Here is a 21,609-nt window from a genome sequence, read left to right as displayed (position 1 = left end):
CCACCTATGAGTATGTGCTCAGGGGTCTTTGGCTGGTGGGATTTAACAGAGCCGTGCCTCACTCCGTGGAGACTGGCATCTTGGCCCCTACCACTGGGCTAGGTGGTGGTGAGAGGTGATCGCCCCTGTCGGGGGCAGGGGTCCCAGCAGTCTGTGGAAATCCCTCATGCCAGGCCTCGCCCACCCGAGCAGGTGCTCACCTCCTGTGGCGGAGTGGTTTGGCGGAGCCGGAGCCACACACCATGGGGCGTCTCTGAACTCTACTCAGATAAAGTCATTCTGCCTTGAGTGCTGACTGCTCAGCACATTTTTCTGAGTATTAAAATCACTGAAAAAGACAATGAGAAATCCCGAGGAGGGCTGTGCTATTCCCCAGCAGCAAAGCTATTAAACTTGCAAGTCTCAGTTCTGAGCCATCTGATGGGTCGGAAGCCGCCCAGCCTCATGCGTCCTGGTTAAAGCAGTTAGTTCCAGTTAGAGATGTGCTTGCAGAAGGATCAATCACCCTTTCTGACAGTTTCTTCCAAATTAAAAGAGGCAGAGAAGGACAGAAAAAGAGGCACATCCCAAAGTCTGAACTCACAGAGTGGGGCCTGTGTCGACTATAGCTCTATCTTATCAAACGGGCACTCTACATAGACTGTGGGCCCGCCTACCCTTCAGGGTTCTGGGACAGGACTAACTCGGGCCTTATAGATGAATGTGACAGGAAGTTTTTAAACAGTATTTTAGGGGTAGAAACAACACTGAATTGATCCTGGCTGGAACACTAACTGTGGCCTCAGTTTCTTTATCTGTAAAATGGGTATTACGGGCTGAATCGTGTCCTTCCTCCCCCAAATTCCTGTGCTGAAATCCTAAGGCCCAGTACCCCAGAATGTGACTGTATTTGGAGAAAGGGTCTTTAAAGAGGTAATTCGGTTAAAATGAGGTCCTGACGGTGGGCCCTACTCCAAGATGCCTGGTGCCCTTCTGAGAAGAGGAAGTTTGGACACAGATGTACAGAGGGAAGCCTGTGTGAGGACACGGGGTGAAGATGCCCTTCCATGAGCCAAGGAGAGAGGCCTCAGAAGAAACAATCCTGCTGACACCTTGATCTTGGACTTCTGGCCTCCAGAATAGGGAGAAAATGCCTTTCTGTTGTTGAAGACAGTCCATGGGCCTTTGTTCTGGCAGCCCAAGGTGACAAATACACTGCACATAATCCCATCTTCCTAGGTAGCCCCGTATGTTATGGAGAGGCCCAAATTAAGACAGAGAGTGAAAGTTCTTGTTAACGTTTGCAGACGTCACGCAACACAAGGGTCATATCAGAGGCCTGCAGTTCAGTGAAGACTGTGGATGGTTTTATCCTCATGAGTCTTACGGAAGTAAATGATTTTGTTAGGGAAGGAACATGATTTTGTTAGGAAAAACATAGGTATGTTCTCAGTGGTCTTTGGCTGGTGGGATTGAGCAGGGACATGCCTCACAGAAGATGAACCCAGAGAACTCCCAGAGTGCCTGTGCCCATTCCGGGGGGTGGCTGGATCTGGGCCAACTGCACCCAGGAATTCAGGGGCCTACCCAAGGCTGTCCCTGGAGACGTTCCTGGCCTGGGTGGGCTGGATGCTGCCATGAGCGCCTCATTTCCCAGGCAATCTCCTCAGGGACGCTGGGTACCCACACCCAGTGAACTCCCGTGACCTCCCGGGGCTTCTCCTCCTTGTCCCAGTTACTCCTCATGTGAGAGCAATGGTTTCATCTTCATTGCGCAGATGAACAAAACAAGGCCCGTGTTTCCCTGGTGGGTGAGTGATAATAAATCTCTCCATCACCTAACCTTTCTCCTCAGAGCTGGAGAAAGGTTACCTGGGGGGTGGGAATGAAGATGATGAAAATGAAGTAAAGTTGAAAGCTGGGAATGGTACCTGGAAGTACTCTGGGCAGTAGGGCTAGCAGTAGGAGCTGAGGAGGTGGGAAGAGAGGGGAGAGAACAGGGGTGAGTAGAGGGGAGAGGACAGGGGTGAGTAGAAGGTAGAGGGCAGGGGTGAGTTAAGGCGAGAGGGCATGGGGGACTAGAGGGGTGAGTAGAGGGGAGAGGATAGGGATGAGTAGAGGGGAGAGGACAGGGGTGAGTAGAATGGAGAGGATAGGGTCTAGTAGAGGGGTGAATAGAGGGGAGATGACAGAGGTGAGTAGAGGGGAGAGGACGGGTGAGTAGAGGGGAGATGGCAGGGGTGAGTAGAGGGGAGAGGACAGAGGTGAGTAGAGGGGAGAGGACAGAGGTGAGTAGAGGGGAGAGGACGGGTGAGTAGAGAGGAGAGGGCAGGGGTGAGTAAAATGGAGAGGATAGGGTCTAGTAGAGGGGTGAATAGAGGAGAGGTGACAGAGGTGAGTAGAGGGGAGAGGACGGGTGAGTAGAGGGGAGATGGCAGGGGTGAGTAGAGGGAAGAGGACAGGGTTGAGTAGAGAGGAGAGGGCAGGGGTGAGTAGAGGGAAGAGGACAAGGGTGAGTAGACGGGAAATGGCAGGAGTGAGTAGAGGAGTGAGTAGAGGGGAGATGGCAGGGGTGAGTAGAGAGGAGAGTAGAAGGGAGAGGGAAGGGATGAGTAGAGGGGAGATGGGAGCGAGGGAAGGGATGAGTAGAGGGGAGAGGGCAGGGGTGAGTAGAGGGGAGAGGGTAGGGGTGAGTAGAGAGGAGAGGATGAGGGTGAGTAGAAGGGAGAGGGTGGGGTGAGTAGAGGGGAGATGGCAGGGGTACGTAGAGGGGAGAGGGCAGGGTGAGTAGAGGGGAGAGAACGGGGTGAGTGGAGGGGAGATGGCAGGGCCGAGTAGAGGGGTGAGGACAGGGGTGAGCAGAAGGGAGAGGGCAAGGGTGAGTAGAGGGGAGAGGACACGGGTAAGTAGAGGGGAGAGGACACGGGTAAGTAGAGGGGAGAGGCGGGGTGACTAGAGGGGTGGATAGAGGAGAGATGGCAGGGGTGAGTAGAGAGATGAGAGAGGGGAGAGGGCAGGGGTAAGTAGAGGGGAGAAGGCAGGGGTGAGTAGAGGGGAGAGGGCAGGGCTGAGTAGAAGGGAGAGGGCAGGGATGAGTTGAGGGGAGATGGCAGGAAGGAGTAGAGGGGTGAGTAGAGGAGAGAGGGCAGAGGTGAGTAGAGGGGAGACAGCAGGGTGCATAGAGGGTGAGTAGAGGGGAGAGGACGGGGTGAGTAGAGGGCAGAGGACGGGTGAGTAGAGGGGAGAGGGCAGGGATGAGTAGAGGGATGAGTAGAGCAGAGGGGGCGGGGTGAGTAAAGGGGAGAGAACAGGGCTGAGTAGAGGGGAGAGGACAGGGGTGAATAGAAGGGAGAGGGCAGGGGTGAGTAGAAGGGAGAGTGTAGGGGCAAGTAAAGGGGTGAGTAGAGGTGAGAGGGCAAGGGTGAGTAGAGGGGAGAGGATGGGGAGAGTAGAGGGGTCAGTAGAGGGGAGAGGGCAAGGGTGAGTAGAGGGGAGAGGACAGAGGTGAGTAGAAGGGAGAGGACAGGGGTGAGTAGAGGGGAGATGGCAGGGGTGAGTATAGGGGAGATGGAAGGGGTTAGTAGAGGGGAGATGGCAGGGTGTATAGAGGGATGAGTAGAGGGGAGAGAACAGGGGTCAGTAGAGGGCAGACACAGGACAGGGATGAGTAGAGTGGTGAGTAGATGGGAGATAGCAGGCATGAGTAGAGGGGAGACGACAGGGTTGAGTATAGGGGAGAGTAGAGGGGAAAGGGCAGGGGTGAGTAGAGGGGAGAGGGCAGGCATGAGTAGAGGGGACAGGACAGGGGTGAGGAGAAGGGAGAGGACGGGTGAGTAGAGGGGAGAGGACAGAGTTGAGTAGAGGGCAGAGGACAGGGGTGAGTAGAGGAGAGAGGACAGGGGAGAGGGCAGGGTTGAGTAGAGGGGTGAGTAGAGCGGAGGGGGCAGGGGTGAGTAAAGGGGAGAGAACAGGGCTGACTAGAGGGGAGAGGACAGTGGTGAAGGGGGAGGGCAGGGGTGAGTAGAGTGAGAGAACGGGTGAGTAGATGGGACATAGCAGGGGTGAGTAGAGGGAAGATGGCAGGGTGTGTAGAGGGATGAGTAGAGAGGAGAGGACAGGGGTGAGTAGAGGGGAGAGGACGGGGTGAATAGAAGGGAGAGGGCAGGGGTGAGTAGACGGGTGAGCAGAGGGGAGAGGTCAGGCGAGTAGAGGGGAGATGGCAGGGCTGAGTACAGAGGTGAGTAGAGGGGAGAGGGCAAGCGTGAGTAGAGAAGAGGGCGAGGGTGAGTAGAGGGGAGAGGGCAGGGGTGAGTAGAGGGAAGAGGGCAGGGGTGAATAGAGGGGAGGTGGTAGGAGTCAGTAGAAGGGTAAGTGGAGGGGAGATGGCAGGGATGAATAGAGGGGAGATGGCAGGGTGCATAGAGGGATGAGTAGAGGGGAGAGGACAGGGGTGAGTAGAGGGGTGAGTAGAGGGGAAATGGCAGGTGTGAGTAGAGGGGAGATGACGGGTAAGTAGAGGGGAGAGGGCAGGGATGAGTAGAGGGGTGAGTAGAGCGGAGGGGGCAGGGGTGAGTAGAGCGGAGGGGGCAGGGGTGAGTAGAGGGGAGAGAACATGGCTGAGTAGAGGGGAGAGGACGGGGTGAATAGGGAGAGGGCAGGGGTGACTATAGGGGTGAGTAGAGGGGAGAGGACAGGAGTGAGTAGAGAGGAGAGGACAGGGTTGAGTAGAGGGGAGAGGACAGGGGTGAGTAGAGGGGTTTGTGGAGGGGAGAGGGCAGGGTTGAGTAGAGGGGTGAGTAGAGGGGAGAGGACACGGGTGAGTAGAGGGGAAAGGACAGGGGCGAGTAGAGGGGAGAGGGCAAGGGTGAGTAGAGGGGTGAGTAGAGCAGAGGGGGCAGGGGTGAGTAGAGGGGAGAGGACAGAGGTGAGGGGAGAGGGCAAAGGTGAGTAGAGGGGAGAGGACAGAGTTGAGTAGAGGGGAGAGGATGGGGAGAGGACGGGGGAGAGGGCAGGGTTGAGTAGAGGGGTAAGTAGAACAGAGGAGGCAGGGCTGAGTAGAGGGGAGAGGACTGGGGCAAGTAGAGGGGAGAGGACAGGAGTGAATAGAAGGGAGAGGGCAGGGATGAGTAGGGGGGTGAGTAGAGGAGAGAGGACAAGGGTGAGTAGAGGAGAGATGGCAGGGGTGAGTAGAGGGGAGATGGCAGGGTGAGTAGAGGGGTGAGCAGAGGGGACAGGGCAGGAGTGAGTAGTGGGGAGAGGACAGGGATGAGTAGAGGGGAGAGGGCAGGTGTGAGTAGATGGAAGAGGGCAGGGGTGAATAGAGCAGACGTGGTAGGAGTGAGTAGAGGGGTAAGCGGGGGGGGGGTGGCAGGGTGAGTAGAGGGGAGAGAATAGGGGTGAGTAGAGGGGAAATGGCAGGGGTAAGTAGAGGGGATAGGGCAGTGGTGAGTAGAGCAGAGATGGCAGGGTGAGTAGAGGAGTGAGTAGAGGGGAGTGAGACAGCGGTGAGTAGAGGGGTGAGTAGAGACGAGATGGCAGGTATAAGTAGAGGGGAGAGGACAGGGCTGAGTAGAGAGGAGAGGGGAGAGGGCAGGGGTGAGTAGAGGGGTGAGTAGAAGGGAGAGGGCAGGGGCAGGTAGAGGGGTGAGTAGAGGGGAGAGAGCAGGGGTGAGTAGAGGAGAGAGGGCAGGGGTGAGTAGAGGGGAGAGGGCAGGGGTGAGTATAGGGGTAAGTAGAGGGGAGAGGGTAGGGGTGAGTAGAGACGGCAGGGGTAAGTAGAGGGGAGAGGACGGGTGAGTAGAGGGGTTTGTGGAGGGGAGAGAGCAGGGGTGAGTAGAGGGGTGAGTAGGGGAGAGAGGGCAGGGGTGAGTAAGGTGAGAGGACGGGGTGAGTAGGGGGGACAGGACAGGGGTGAGTACTGGGTTTTGTGGAGGGGAGAGGGCAGGGGTGAGTAGAGGGATGAGTAGGGGAGAGAGGGCAGGGGTGAGTAGAGGGGAAAGGGCAGGGGTGAGTAAGGTGAGAGGACGGGGTGAGTAGAGGGGAGAGGATGGGGGGAGTAGAGGGGTTTGTGGAGGGGAGAGGGCAGGGGTGAGTAGAGGGGTGAGTAGGGGAGAGAGGGCAGGGGTGAGTAGACGGGAGCGGACAGGGATGAGTAGGGCGTGAGTACAGGGGCCAGGCAGGCGTGGGCAGTTACATTCAGCAGGGGACTTTGTCTTCTGCATAATTTTTCCCAGAGCCTGCTGAAATGCGGGGGCTTTCTAACTTCCACACTGTAGTGTTATTTAGTTAGCGCTTATTTAGATGGTTATTCGTTGGTCCTGCAATAAACATGTAACTAAAAAGGACAAGTTGTTTTCCAGTGGTGGTCAGTTTGGTGGTGGAGATTTCCACTCCTGTGCCCTGCATTCACTCCCTCCTGAGGACTGCTGAAATCACTTCTCGTTTCTGCTGAATAATGCACTTGTGACAGCCAGCTCTACTAGCTCGTTTACAACCAGATCAATGAGTCTTTATGTGCTTTTCCCCAGCCAGACGACAATAAACTAGGTTTTATTTGCCTAAATTGAGTCCTCAAATTCGGTGGATCAGCATAAACCCTCTGGGAGAGCGCTGGGGACCCTGAGTAACATTCTGCTTGGTTCAGCCATTCTTTCACTAATTCCCCCGTAAAAAGCCACCACATTTGTCCTCAGCACTTGTGCCAGCTGCCTGGATTAGTTTTAATTTAGCTCTTCTGGAGAGTGTAGCCCTTTAGAACATCTTTCCTATTGCTCTTCTGTACGCTTGTTTAATTTGGCTGGGTTTGTTTTGAGAGGAGCTGTGGAGATGGGTCTTCTCTCCCACCGGGACACGTCAGTAGAAAGGTTCTCTTGCTTCCGTGGAGTTCTGAAGGCTTCCCCTGCCCCAAGACCTGATAGGAATTACTGCTTCCCCCACCCCAAAAGCCACTGACAGGACTTTTATTTATTACTGCATATTTTATTTAAGGTAAAACCTCCAAACAGTGTCAAAGAGTATATACCCCAAAGTAAGCCTGCTCCTGCCCTGTCTCCAGCCCCAGCCCTCTCACCAGAAGCCTCCACTGTCCGCAGCCCCTATGTGTGCTTCCAGAGAGGGTCTGCCCTCCACTTTCTAAGAAACAGAAATAGTAGCAGAGCACAGACGTGGTTACTCAGATACATTCTGGCGCCAGCTCCACGTCAGTATCTAACCAGCATCCTGGTTCTCTTCTCACAGCGGCAGAGGATTCTGCTGCGTTGTTTCTCTGTGTCAGACATTGCAGCCGCTTCCTGTCTCACTGCTGGTCTGGAATTTCAGAGAACCCCTGAGCTGGAGTTCTGAATTGAAACCTGGAGCCTGTCTGGTTCCACATTCACCTTTCACCACCGGCCGTTTCTTGAACACCCGCTGTGTGTCGAGGTATGCCTCCCTGTGCCAGGCTCTGGAAGTGGAGAGGGAGGGAGACAGAGCAGTGGCCCCGGCAGAGCTGGCGCTTGGTAGGAGGCCTGCCCGGCACCCAGACTGCCCTGAGGACGCCATGCCCGGCTCCCACCTTGGTCCACGCGGGGCCCCGCTCTGAAGGGCCATCTTCTGGCATCTTCCTTGGGACCCACATTCAGTCCCCACTTCCTGGGGCACCCTTGCTGAGAACTAATCAATACCCTGCTCTTTCTGGAAACTCCCACAGCGTATGTCGGTTGATCAACGCGCTCATGTAAGCAGCTGTTTGTGTTACTGCTCACTTAATGTATGTCTTCAAGTTTATTCAATTCCACAAACTTAAAGCATTGATTATGTGCCAGGCGATTTACACACATCATTTCATTTACATTCCTGCACCAACCCGATGAGGTAGGTCTTCTAGCTGCATTTTTACAAAAATTTCAAATGTCAGTCACAAGAAATCTGTTATAGTGGACCCCCATATATGCATCACCCAGCTTCCTTGATTATAAGCACGTGGCCTATTTTGTTTTACTTGTGCCCACACGTCTTGCCACTCTGCCTGAGATTATTTTCAACAAATCCCAGACATCATATTATTTCTTCTTCAAATATTTCAGCCTGTACTGGCAAATTATAAGAATGCTTTAAAAAGAACACATGACTTCACAACGATGATCACGTCTAAAAATTAATAATACTTTCGTAATACTTTCTCAATTATCAAATAGTGTTTATCTTTTCTCGTGTCTAATATATTTTTTAATTGTTTGGATAGTGATCCAAATAAAGCCCATTTTGATGGGCTGATATGTTAATTTAGTCTCTTTTACTGTATAGATTTCTCTTACCATCTTGCTTCTTTCCCTTGCAATTTTTATTTGTTAAAAAATTGGGTCTTTTGTCTTATAGTTTCCCAGAGTTTGGATTTTGCTGGTTTCATCTCTATAATAATACTTTTATTATTTTCCTTATGACTGTCTAGTTGTCTAAATATCACTTATTAAAAAGTCCACCCTTCCCTCTATTGGCTTCAAGTGCTGCCTTTATTAAAACTAAATTTCCAGACACAGTAGAGCTTACTATAGAATTAACCCGTTCATCTGACCCCCTTCTTTTCTGTAAATTAGTAGTTTTATCTTGAGGCTTAATCATATTCAGGTTTTTTGTTTGTTTGCAAGACTACTTCATAGGTGGTGATGTGTACTCCACCAGGAGATGCAGAACGGCTGCTGGTCGCATTTTGTGAAGGTCATAGCCATTTGATTATTGTTATTGCCTAGAGCCATTGTTTTATTATAGATATAAATAAAATTAATAATTCTATTATTTTTCTTTATTAGCTGGAATACATCTATAAAAAGATAATTCCTCTCTTTATTTATTTTTCTTACTGGATATACCTATAGGTCTTATAAGAAAGGCAGGAAAATGCTTTATTTTCTCTCATTATTTACCAGTTTTAAAAATGAGTTGGTTCCTCAGTGGGCTCCAAAGGTGATTAATTAGTTTTTTTTTTTTTTTTTTTCGGTGTTATACTGACATATTTGATGGATTTCAATCTATTGCAGTTAATGTTCTTAATAATATTCTTTTAAAAATTGATGGATCATGCTTTTATTCTATAACTGACTTACTTTAATATTTGAAAACTGTAAATGACATTTTGTCTATTTCCCAAGAGGGGAGCTAACAGGTCTCTATGGATTCACTTGGAAGTGGCTCACAAGTCTTTCTTTAAACTTTAAAACATCTCTAAACTTTTACATTCTTTACTATTAAGGCAAAAAGGCAGTTCAAGTTCAATCAGAATTTCATGTTCAATTGCTTCACATAGTCACAATATTAAAAGCTCTGAATGTGTGACTTAGGTCCAGCGGTTAGAAAGGTATTTTCAGCCTGGCGAGATGTGCTTTGCTGCTGGGCTGCAGCTCATTTGTGCTGTCACCATGGGATTGGCTACTGTAGCGCTCAGAGGACAGCTCTGGTTCCACAGACTCCTGTCCGCCCACGGACTCCTGTCCGCCCACGGGCTGCACACAGGCAATAGGTTTCTGTAACATTGAACTGAACTTTGACATCAACGAAGGTGGGAAAGACTGATTTGAGTGCTGCCCACTTGGAAAAGATACGTGAGAGGGAGAATCCCCGTTTGCATTAGGGTCCCCAGGTGATTTGGAGCGCTGATATTCCTTGCTATGCTGATCATTCCCATGAGAGCTGGAATGACTGGAGCTTAACGAAGAGACAGCCTGGGGTTTCCCAGGGCTGGAAGAGCGCGGCTTGGAGTGCTGTGATCCATGCTGACATTTTTCTCTGGTCTTCTGCTCCCACTACTGCTATGTGAGTCACAGTCATGTCTCTGGCCACGACTGTTAGTGCCACTGCTGCCACCTGCACCGGTCTACTGGCTACTATGTCCACTCTGTAAGCCTGAGGACTGTTTCTGGGACAGAAATGCTGGGTGCAGAGGTCCTACTGGGGTCCATTTTCATCTGTTATAGGTGGTACCGTAGGCTTGGAAACTGCAATAAGCCTTGGTATAGATTTGTCTCCTATAAAATCTTTCATTTCACCATAGTTTCCAAGCCTACTCTGGATACAACTCGATAACTTATCTTCCTTGCTAGTAGTTTTGTATGGCTCAGCAAAGAGAAGAGAGCTAGGTGGGAAGGCAACTTCGTCCTGTTGAATTTCCTGATCCCGCCTTTCTTGTTCTTTCATACCCGCCACGGTCCGGGCTTTATGGTTCATGTTGCTTATCTTGACTTCTTTTTCTCCCCAGTGCAGCCTCCTTGGTGTCCATCCTTATGGCAGTTGGACCTCAGCTTTGCTGTTGCTTTAGATTCCACAGCATGAGGTGTAGAAGAGTCCTGAGCACAGGAGTTCTGTCCCCATGGAGTTGGGGTAGCCACCCTCCCAGCACATGGATGTCTTCTTGTTCACCTTACTGGAAGCCCTGATAATATTCTTATTGATTCCCAACCATCTTTGGTTAGTGGGAGCTTCTTTGAATTGACTCCTAAGTCTTCTGACATGACTGTAGTAGTTTTTCATAGCGTCCTTGCTTTCTGGTATGACAAGGTGTTTCAGACTCGTCTTGAATATTTCCTATCCTCGAACCTGGATTCAGCCATTTCTACAAGGAGCCCCCCATTCTTTTAGTGAAAGATGGTTGTTAGAGACCCAAATCTGAGGCTAAAAATGTTCATTGTCGCTAAGTTGGCCATTGCTTCTAGATCTTTTCAGTGGTCAGACTTGGAAATAGGCATATATTTATTTTCATGATCACATATATCATGACTTTATATTGATAATTCTGATTTAAATTCAAGACTAAAGAATTGTCACTAAACGTCATGCATCTTACAACTGTATCTCCTTTCACTCACATTCAAGTCTCAGTTTTCAATAACACAAATATAGTTACTCTCTTACTCTGTCCCACAGTACACACACACACACACACACACACACACACCAGTGTCAGAATAACAGTGCCAGTGCTACCACCACCAATGTGATTACTGAAAAATTGTTGGGTTTTTTTCTGTTGTCTTTTGCATCTCCACTAGGAATGTACAGTTAAATTCCTGTGGTTTAAAAAGCCACTTGGAATAGTTCTTCTTCGTGTGACTATGCTATCAACTTGGTACATAGCTGGATTCATTTGTTTCTTTTTATTTTTGATTCTTAGAATTGGCTTTCTGAAATCTATTTTTGTTATACAATTCTGTAAAATATTTTCATGGTTCCAAAGTCATCTCCACATAACAAGATAAATTAGAAGAACTCTAGTGCCCTACCTTTCCCTGCTACTTTTTCCCCTCCACCCTCCTATAAGTAACATTTAAAAATACTTATGGTTTGTTTTATTCCATTTTTTCAATGTAAACACATATGTATGTATATATTCATATCCTTCCCTTTTCTTAGCTAGATGGTAGAATGAAATACACACTCTTTCCATCTTGCCTTTTAGCTCAATAACATATCCTGGAGATCATCACTCCATAGTAGCTATAGAGCGATTTCTTGTTCCTTTGCAGATGCATCATGGTTTATTCAACGAGTCCCCTCCTGGGAGGTATTTGGATTTTTCCAGTATTTTGGTATTACAGATAGGATTGCAGTGAACAGCTTTGTACATACTTCTTGTTCATATTTTTGCCAGTGTGTCATTGGGAGTGTGTCCTAGAAACAGGACTGCTGGGTCAAATTATGTATACATAAATGCCTATATAATTTGTCTAGATGTTGCCAAATTTTTCTCCATAGGGGTTGTAACATTTTCTATTCCCATCAACACTGTATAAACTTGCCTGTTTCCCTAGAGCTTCACCAACAAATAGTTTGACATACTTTTAGAGTTTTGCTAATTGGATAGGTAAAAGTGGTATCTCAGGTAGATTTTAAAAATTTCTCTTATTATGAGTGCAGTTGAGACATTAGGAGCCATTTTCATCTATTTTTTGTGTCAACTGTCTGTTCATATCTCTAACATTTAAAAATAAAAGAGTGCTATCGGCTTTTTTTAACCTCAAATTTTAAATGCTGTGTATAAAATAGGGCTATTTTAACCTTTTGTATCCTACATTGCATTTTTTTTTCTAGTTTGTCATTTATCTTTTAATTTTGCTTATGGTGATATTTTGAAATGCAACATTTTAAAATTTTTCTTAATCAAATTTATCAATATTTTCCTTTGTTGCTTTTGTATTTTGAATTGTAACAAGAAAAATTTTTCCCACATCCAAGTTATAAAGGAATTCACCTATGTTTTCTACTTGTATGGTTTCATTTTTGATTTTATATCTAGGATACATTTAGAACTGACCCTAGGGTACAGCAAGAAATGGATCTAATTTTATTATTTTCCTTATGACTATCTAGTTGTCTGAATATCACTTATTAAAAAGTCCATCCTTCCCTCTATTGGTTTCAAATGCTGCCTTCATCAATACTCAATTTCCAAACACAGTAGAGCTTACTATAGAATGTTCTATTCTGTTCCATGGTTTTCTCATCTTTTTTGTGCCAACGCTAAACTATTTTAATTACAGAGACTTTATAATATGTTAATGTCTGGCGGGGCTGCTGGTCCCCTCCCCAGCCTCCTCCCCTCCACTCTTTCTTAGTTTTTCTTTCCTGGCCATTCTTGTCTTTCTGTTCTTACAAAGGGAATTTAAAATCAACTCATCTAACTCTAGAAAAAAAAATGGAATTTTAAAAATTAGGATTGCATTAAATTGATACATTAACTTAGGGAGAAGAGACATCTTTATGCTATTGAGTCTATTTGAGTGCATGGTGTTTCTTTCCATTTGTTCAAGACTATTTTGTGTGTTTCAGATAGATTTGATTGTTGTCTAATATAGACTTTGGACATTTCTGAAGTTTAGAGGTGATTCATCTTACGCTATCATAAATAAGATTTTCTCATCTCTTTTATCTTTTTGTTTATATATAAATAGCATTGTTTGTTATTTGTTTTGAGATGGCCCTTGCTTTGTTGCCCAGGCTGGTCTTGAACTCCTGGGCTCAAGCAATCCCCCTGCTTCACCCTCTTGAATACCTGGGACTACAGGTTTGTACCACCATGCCCAGCAGCATTTATTTATTTATTTTTCTTTTAGAGACAGGGTCTTGCTCTGTCACCCAGGCTGGAGTGCAGTTGTAGAATCATGGCTCACTGCAGCCTCAACCTCCCAGGCTCAAGTGATCCTTCTGCCTTGGCCTCACAATGTACTTGGATTACAGGCATTTGCCCACATGCCCAGCCTCAGCATTGCTTTTTGATGTTATTTTATAACGTGCTACTTCACTAAATCATCTTATTTTTTGTCGTATAGTTTTTACATTGTTCCTTCTGGGATTTCCAGAAAGACCAAATTTTTCCCTCTTTCTTTCCAATTCTTATACCAAGTACTTTCTCTTGTCTAATCATATTGACTACTGCCTCTAACCAACGAGAGAGAGCGGGCATCTTTTTCTCATTCTTAATTTCTGTGGAAGGCCTAGTGTTTCCTTCTTAGAGATATTTTATCATGTCAAAGGAAGTCTCTAATCATCCTCATTATTCAGATGAGAAACTGAGATGCAGAGATCAATGAAGACCTTGGCTCAAGATCACACGGTTGGTAGATGGCAAGCGGCAAGGCTAGGGGCTGTCTGGCTTCAAAATCCCCAGTCTTTGCATCACATCTAATTTTCCCTAGTTTTCATGGAAAACTGACCCCACCCCCTGTCTTCCATTTCCCAACATGGAACTCACATTTTAAGAGATCTTAAGAGGTTTAAGAGTGGCCGAGTGTGGTGTATGAGAGGGGCATGGAAAGAGGCCCTGAGTGCCACACCCTAGTCTCCCTCTGTTTTCTTTAGCAGTTCTCTTGCTTTCCAGACACATTCAACTTCCAGAAACCACCTTTCTTAGAAAGCAGCTTAGTGACTGGCTGGGCACGGTGGCTCACGCCTGTGATCCCAATACTTTGGCAGGCCAAGGCTGGTGGATCACCTGAGGTCAGGAGTTTGAGACCAGCCTGGCCAACATGGTGAAACCCTGTCTCTACTAAAAATACAAAAAAAAAAAAAATAGCTGGATATGGTGGTGGGCACCTGTAATCCCAGCTACTTGGGAGGCTGAGGCAGGAGAATCGCTTAAACCCGGGAGGCGGAGGTTGCAGTGAGCCGAGATTGCGCCACAACCTGGGCAACAGAGTGAGACTCCATATCAAAAAATAAATAAATAAAAATAAATAAAGAGGCTTAGTGGCCACCTGTATTATATGAACAAGACCCTTGGGAAGCAGGCTCATGCCTCCTTCTCCCCCTCTCCCATCAAAATATTTCTTCCAATCATATACCTCACTCTTCCTAAGAGGAATGAATCTCTCTAACGGACTTTTCTCTGGTAGCTACATTTCTAACCATACTGTAGTGTCCCTTATAGCTTGGCTGACAAAGAAACCGCCCCACTGGCCTGCTCTGACCAAACAAATTGCACTGATTAAGAAACAGGCTGAGTGACTTTTTCTTGGGGAAATGTGTTCAGGCCTTTGCAGATTATGATTCTGCCCCCATCACCTACTTTCCAGGGATACCAGGTTGTAAATCATGAACAACAAACCCTGTTGCCTTTATTTATTCTCAGTGGAGAAGGATTAGTTCTTGTTTTTTTTTTCTAAAAAGAGAGCCTTCTAGGACCACAAGTTCTGTGGGAGAAACCTGGCCCAGATCTGGATTGCCTGAGTTTCCAGCATGTTCTTCAAGTAGGCAGATTCCCTGAGTATGGGCTGTCTCTGTGCAAGGGACAGAAAGACGGGCTGTGAACAGCAGGAAAAATAGTCAAATCAGGTCCATTTTAAACTCTAATCCTTTGCCTTTCAACAATTTTGATTTCCCATTTTCTCCAGCTGACAGCCTTATCCTTTGGAGGTATAAGCTGCAGTTTTCTCCCATGGAGACCTAGACAAATGTCCTGGCTCCTTAATTTAGAACCTCTGCGCTCCCCTTTCTTCCTCAGGCAGCTTCATTCTCCCCCTGGCTTCAGCTGTTCCTTTTGTTTTGACACCTGGTCTCTGAGGGCTGCTCCTCTGACCCCACTCTCCTTTCATCTGCAGCTCCGAGGCACAAGGCTGCCTTATTCCAAGCTTGTGTTTGGCCTATTTGAGGATGAAAGGGCCTGATGTTGCCATCAGAGCCTATTGTCAGCATCGTTCATTTGGTAAGAAAAGTCAGGAGCACAGAGCAAGGCTGGAGAGGGAAATGGCCCAGGTCTTCCTCAGCCTCTGTAGTTGCCACCTGGGGTTTTTCTGTCCGTTTTCACCACTTAGCGAGGCTTGGAGGTTCTAACACAGCTGAGGAGTGGGAGGAGAGAGGTTTGGAATTGAAACAGAACTTCATATGCATGAACCCTAACTAGGACCAGCTATATAATTTGCGGATCCCAGTGCAAAATGTGGGGCCCCATGTTCAAAGAGCAGGAACAAAGTGCGATTTAAGTTACTCAAATATAATGCTTTTTCCTTTCTTCTGTCATGTTTCAACTTGTTATGGTAATTTTTATCTGCTATTTAATTTCCACTCCCTGGGGAATGGGGATGCTCATGCAGACCTTTATAGGCATCCAGAGGCCTCGCTCCATGATTCTGGGCATGTGCATACCCCACCAATGGCTGCGGTACCTTTCTTACCGGCCATTGGACCGATGTACCATGTCCTGCTGGTGGGGTGGGGTGATAACCCCCAAGAATATTACGACCTCAGTGCCACCTGTAGGTACCTGGGTTGGGGGTGAGCAAGAGGCTTGTCCTCTCCCTCCAGTTGCTGCCACCCAGGGGCTTGGAGCAGGTGTCAGAAGGGGCTCCCAGGGGCAGAGAGGTGGGCCAAGAACCTGTTGTAGGGAGACAGAGGGAGGTAGGACCATTCAAGAGCCCCTGGTCCATACTCCATTGTCCCACAAGACTTCACTTTTAAAACACAAATTCAAAGATAAAACTATTGGCTGGGCACGGTGCCTCATACCTATAATCCAAGCCCTTTGGGAGGCCAAGGCAAGAGGATCTCTTGAGGCCAGGAGCTTGAGGTTGCAGTGATCTCTGATGGCATCGCTGCACTCCAGTGCAGCATCCTATGAGACTTCACTGGTGGTGCACCCATGGAGCCAACCCTGGCCCCAAACTTACATAGTGATATAAGGATGAGGAAGATTCCCCCCTCCCCAGGACGGCCTTCCTGATTCTGCCATGGTGTGAGCCCTCCTGGCACCCTAGTTTCGTGTTGCTTTCCATGATGTGACTCTCTGCACAGTGACAGCAATTGTTTCCCTCCTCCTGGCTCCTCTTCCTGGCTTTTCTGAAAACCTGTCTTTGTCTCCTCTGGGTGGGGGTGAGACAGGCTGTGGGGAGATTCCAGGGGACAGGGGACCCCCACTCCCCAGAATGGCCCCAGGAGCTTTCTGTGCTAGCTGGGGTGGTGATGGCAGGGAGGAGAGCCTGTCTCCTTTCCAACTCTTCTCCCCCTCTGAAAGCAAGAGGAAATGTTGTTTCCCAAACATTTATGGAAATTGTTGCCTGCTCTGACCTTCCCCACTGCTTGCTCCAGCCTGATCCAAGAAAGTGCCACCAAAATGGACATCCCCACCGTGCTATTGAGTGACTGAGGTCTCTCTTGGATTCTCTGTTTGGGGCCCAGGCTAAGGAGGTCGAATTTCTCTCTAGGTGCCAACTTGGGGCTCAGTTGCTGAGAGCTTGCTCTGAGGCCTCAGGCCCTGCATGGGCCCTGAGGAGTCACAGAGGGTTGCCATGGAACTGAGCTGCAGGACCAGGAGGAGTTCTGTGGACAAGGGGGGGAAGAGGCAGCTGCAGGTGGAGAAACAGGAGGGGTAAGGAGTGCTGTGAGGAGCACGGAACACCAGAGCCCAGAGTCTGGAAAGGTGGGCATGAAGCCCCAGCCAGAGTGGCCTAAGTGAGGGCAGAGGGAGAGAGCTCTGGATTTCTGGGGCCCAGGACCGCAGAGTGGCTGCCTCTGACCCCAAGTGAGATGAAGGCAGCGTGTTGTGGAAGGACTGGGCTGGGAGGTGGCCTTTCCTCTAGGCCTGGAAAGGGGTGGGGGCCTGGTGGGGGCCTCCTGCAGCTCCACGAGGCCAGATTCACTGAAAAAATCAGGAGCATTTCTCAATTATGGAGTTTTCTTTTGTTCTTCTTGATGGAATAGAGTTTAATATGGCTGAAAGGCTGGGCTGTGCAATATAGAAAAAGTAACTCCAGGCTGGGCATGGTGACTCACTCCTGTAATCCTAGCACTCTGGGAGGCAGAGGCGGGTGGATCACCTGAGGTCAGGAGATCAAGACCAGCCTGGCCAACATGGTGAAACCCCATCTCCATTAAAAATGCAAAAAAATTAGCTGGGCGTGGTGGCGTGCACCTGTAATCCCAGCTACTCAGGACGCTGAGGCAGGAGAATTGCTTGAACCCGGGAGGTGGAGGTTACAGTGAGTTGAGATCGCACCACTGCACTCCAGCCTGGGTGACAGAATGAGACTCCATCTCAAAAAAAAAAAAAAAGAAATAATAACTCCATTTTATCAATTGGTCTTACTCTATCTTCAAGTCCATGATTTTTTAAAAAAGAAGAAAAAGAGAACTTTATTCATACCCAGGCCCTCATTTATAGTCACTTAAGAGGAAAGTGAGCCCATGTGGGATCCTGACCCTCAACTACAGAGGTCGCATGTCTTGGTGTGTGGCTGTGGTGCTCTCACAGGATTTTAGAGCTTCCTAGTCTGTACTCTACCTGTAAGCAGGAGCCAGGCTCTTATTTGTCTACAGATTTGCTGGAATATGTAAGCATTGTTATACCCATTTTGTAGATAATGAAACTGAGGCCCAGAGAAGTTAGTAAGTTGCAAAGGCTCTTGTAGCTATCTGGAGCCAGAACAAGTCAGTATCTATTGAGTATAAACTAAGTTTTGTGGCCCTACTTTTTAACCTAGCCATTGGGATACCTGATTTCTCCTGACAAGTCTGTGTGGCATCTGATTGCAAGCGATTGTCCAGCAGATGCTGACATATTGGAGTATCTAGGGATGTTCTGGTGGTTGTTATGGCACAATATTTGGAATAAGGACAGTTGTGAAGAATCCTGGAGGAATGGCTGCCTCTTAGATTTGACAGGCGTTAAGGCCCTGGACTGTTCTAAGATGGCTCTCCCTTGCAGCCCAGATGGATGCAAGCAGAACAGCAGCACCAGGGGGAGAGCCTGAGAGGATGGTGCTGTTCATCATGCACTCTGTGCTGTCAGTGGGCACTGACAGCAGTGCAGGAGAAGCATCCTGGGATGAAGTGGGAGGCAGGAGGGGCAAATGGGGAGTCCCTGTGTGCAACTGCTTAGCTTCCCCCAGCTATACACAAATAAAATTTTGTGACCTCCTCTTGGGAGGCTGCATACTGGACTCCAGGGGGCCAAGGGTCTGAGTTGGCAGTCCCTGGTGGGTTAGAGACTGATTTTGCTCAGAGGGATCCCAAGGCCAGCATCTGGAGAGAAAGAGGAGGAGGAGAGGTGAAGCCAGCTATCCACAGAGAGACCAGCTGAGAGGTGTAATGCTGGCTGGAGTCCCAGCATTAGAACTACAGGCTGCAGGCCAGACATGATGGATGTGCTCCAGACTCCGCAGAAATCACCCTGGAGAGTGGGAAAAGCAGGGCTGACCAAGCAAGGGAGAAAGATGAAACCTCTGCATCCTTCCCTGTCCAATAAGATAGCCATTAGCTACCTGTGGCTGTTTACATTTAAATTAATGAAAATTAGATAAAATAAAAATGCAATTCCTCAGTCTCATTAGCCACATTTCAAGTGCTTGATAGCCATATATGGCTAGTGGCTGCCAGATTGGACAGTGCAGATATAAGATATTAATATTTCCATCACGCAGAAAGCTCTACTTGAATGTAAATTACCTCATTAATATATTTTGTATTGATTACATGTTGAAATAACATTCTGGACATATAGAGTTAAATAAGCTATAATATTAACTTCACCTGCTTCTTTTTACGTGTTTTACTGTGGGTAATAGAAACTTGTCAATTACCAATGTAGTTCATATTTCTATTGAACAGCGTGGTTGTAGGTGGATACAGGAACACACCTCCATTTATTCATTGTTCTTAACACCTCATCCATCCAATGGTATTTGATTGGATAATAGCTGTAAAAATCCCTTCTCAACAGTAAAGGTGACTGAGGCAGCCCCAGGGTAATGGGGCAAATGCAACTTTGGAGGCACAAAAATTCAGGTTCAAATCTCATCTCCATCCCTCTACTAGCTTTGAAGTCTTGGGCAAATTACATGCCTCAGTTTCTCATCTGAAAAATGCAATCAGTGAATGATCCACTGCATAGCATTTCTTTGAAGTTTAAAGAAGACAGTGGGTAGTGCACGTATGGGGGCTAGCGTGGGCTCCTAGTAAACCTCGGTAAAAGGTAGCATTGTTGTTATCATTACCATTTTAAGTGTGAAAGTGTAGGGGATTATGGTCAGTTTCTCTGGCCTCAGCCTACTCACAACCCTACCCGCTGCCTTCAGCAGCCCCTCCCAGCCCTCTGCAAAGCCCTTGGCACAGCCTGGACACTTACCTGCTGGCAGCTGCTGGCCCAGGAAGCCCGTAGGGCACCCCAGTTTCCCGAGCGTGTGGCTTTGCTCTCCAGGTGCATCCGCAGTTGTGTTTCCAGCTCCTGACTGACTTGCTCAAGGGCGTGCACTTTGGCCATATATTCCACCAGGCAGCCCCCTAGGTCCTCAACAGCACCATGGTCCCTCTCCAAACCTGGAGCCGGCACGGTGGCCAGGCCTGAGCTCCGCAGGCCCTGAAGGAAGACACTGCTGATGCCGAGGGCCCGGCGGGTCACACGGGCACCCAAGCCACCTATGCACCCACTGGGTGCTGTTCCTACATAGACCCCGGGTGCTCGGACAAGGCCACTCATGGCATTGGTCCTGGAGGCTGGGGGGCTCTCCAGGGAGGATGATGACCGTGGCCCCCTGAAGGACGCCCTGCGCCTCTGGAGGGGCATGCTGGAGCTGGCACTGGTGGGCAAGTCCACTACCACTCGCCTCTCACTCATCACCCCTTCTGCCTCTGTGGTGCCCAGTGGGTTTACAGAGTCCAGTGGCTTTTGGTTTACAGCCCCAGCATCCCTGTGGCCTGGTCACGGGCCTCTCTGGAATCTCCCCTATCCCTGGGGCTGCTTTGTCTGCTGTCTTCCATGAGTTTCCATCATTCACTGAGCTGAAAGAGAAATGGGCACTGCCCAGGGCTGTGTGCAGAGAGGCACTCATGCATTCTTTGATGCAGGGTCATGTGCCCAACCTCCCAGATTATTCTGCTGGTGGTGGGGGAGGCTGGATCAGTGCAGGCTGTGGAGGTAGACCATTTGGGTTTGTGCATTTTACTACCTAAGTGGGCAAGGCAGGCATCAAGCAACCCCATTTTACAGATGAGTAAACTGAGGCTCAAGGACCTCAGATGACAAGTGTACTGATCACTTGCCCCAGACCTCAGATTACAAGCTAGGACTCAATCTAGCTATTTCAGGGCTTTCTACATCCCTATGTGTGCTGGCACATGTGAATGTGAACACATGTCCACACAGGCAATAGAGGATGAAAAATGGCAGGAGGCAGCTCCAGGGACCCAAGAGAAAAGACTTGCCTATGGTTTCCTCTCTCAGTCCTGGCAGCAGCTTCAGGTCCTTCCCTCACCTCTCTCCTTTCCTCCTCATCTCTGTCCTCTAATGCTCTGCTGTTCATCAGCTGCTTGCTGTTGGCCAGGATGCTTCCTCCCTCTGGACCTCACTGTCTGAACATTGGCTTGGGCCTTTAACTCTCTGATGCACCAGATAAGGACCTTGGGCAAATTCAGATCCCACACATGTTCCGGCCATTCCCTACACCTCTGCTTCTCCATCTGTTGGAAAACTGAGAAATAAAAACAACAACGAGGGTGTTTTCTGGTAAGCCTCTCCAAGGGTGCCCCAAGTTAGGATATGATGACACCCCTGGGTTTTAATTATTGACCTTGGCATCCACTAAGCCACCAAGGGTCACACCTCAATCACTTCTCTAGGATCAGAAAGGTTCCCCCAGTTACAGGATGACAACATGGACCTAAAAACCTCTGTACATAAGTTTTACCCTGGAGAAACCAGGTCACCAAACCCCAGAGCTGGATACTTTTCCAGATGCTGTAATGTAGGAATGTACCTCAGGTGAGAGAAGGAGAAGGGAGTCAATCTCTAGTGAGTAGCAGATCCAGCCTGGTGTGTGCATGAATCCTATGGTTTATTTCGTGGAATTCTCAACTCAACCTCAGGAGGAAGGAGGTCCAGGGTTGACAGGTACTGCCATATGGGCTGTGTACCTCACAGCTCTAAAATGACATGTCCTACAGTTGGCCACTGTCCTCTTATGTGAGGAGGACCCCGAGAGCTGCAATGACTTGCCCAAGGTTCTATGTCCAGAAAGTAGCAGAGCTGGGGGCAGACAACCTCTTCCAAACTCTGGGCCACTGACTTACTTAGGAGCCTCCCTGTTGCCCACCACCCAGAGAGCAGAGTACCTACCTGAGGTCACGCAGGTAGAGGTAAAAAACCTGGTCGCCTACTAGAGGACCCTGTGTGCACTTCCT

General features: G+C 48.5%; 1 protein-coding gene across 2 annotated transcripts in view; it reads right to left on the bottom strand.

Moving 5' to 3' along the window:
* The window catches only part of BFSP2 (beaded filament structural protein 2), a 75,153-nt gene extending 55,078 nt beyond the window's left edge, over positions 1–20,075 (bottom strand). For both annotated transcript variants that reach the window (NM_003571.4, XM_017007315.2), the window contains exon 1: positions 19,559–20,075. In NM_003571.4, the coding sequence (NP_003562.1) occupies positions 19,559–20,047 (489 nt within the window). In that variant the 5' untranslated portion in view covers positions 20,048–20,075. The remainder of the gene's footprint in view (positions 1–19,558) is intronic.

The sequence above is a fragment of the Homo sapiens genome, chromosome 3 (genome assembly GCF_000001405.40).
Source record: "Homo sapiens chromosome 3, GRCh38.p14 Primary Assembly".
NCBI classification, from domain to species: domain Eukaryota; kingdom Metazoa; phylum Chordata; class Mammalia; order Primates; family Hominidae; genus Homo; species Homo sapiens.
Note: the sequence above shows the minus strand (reverse complement) of the source record. Positions and strands in the feature narration are given on the sequence as shown.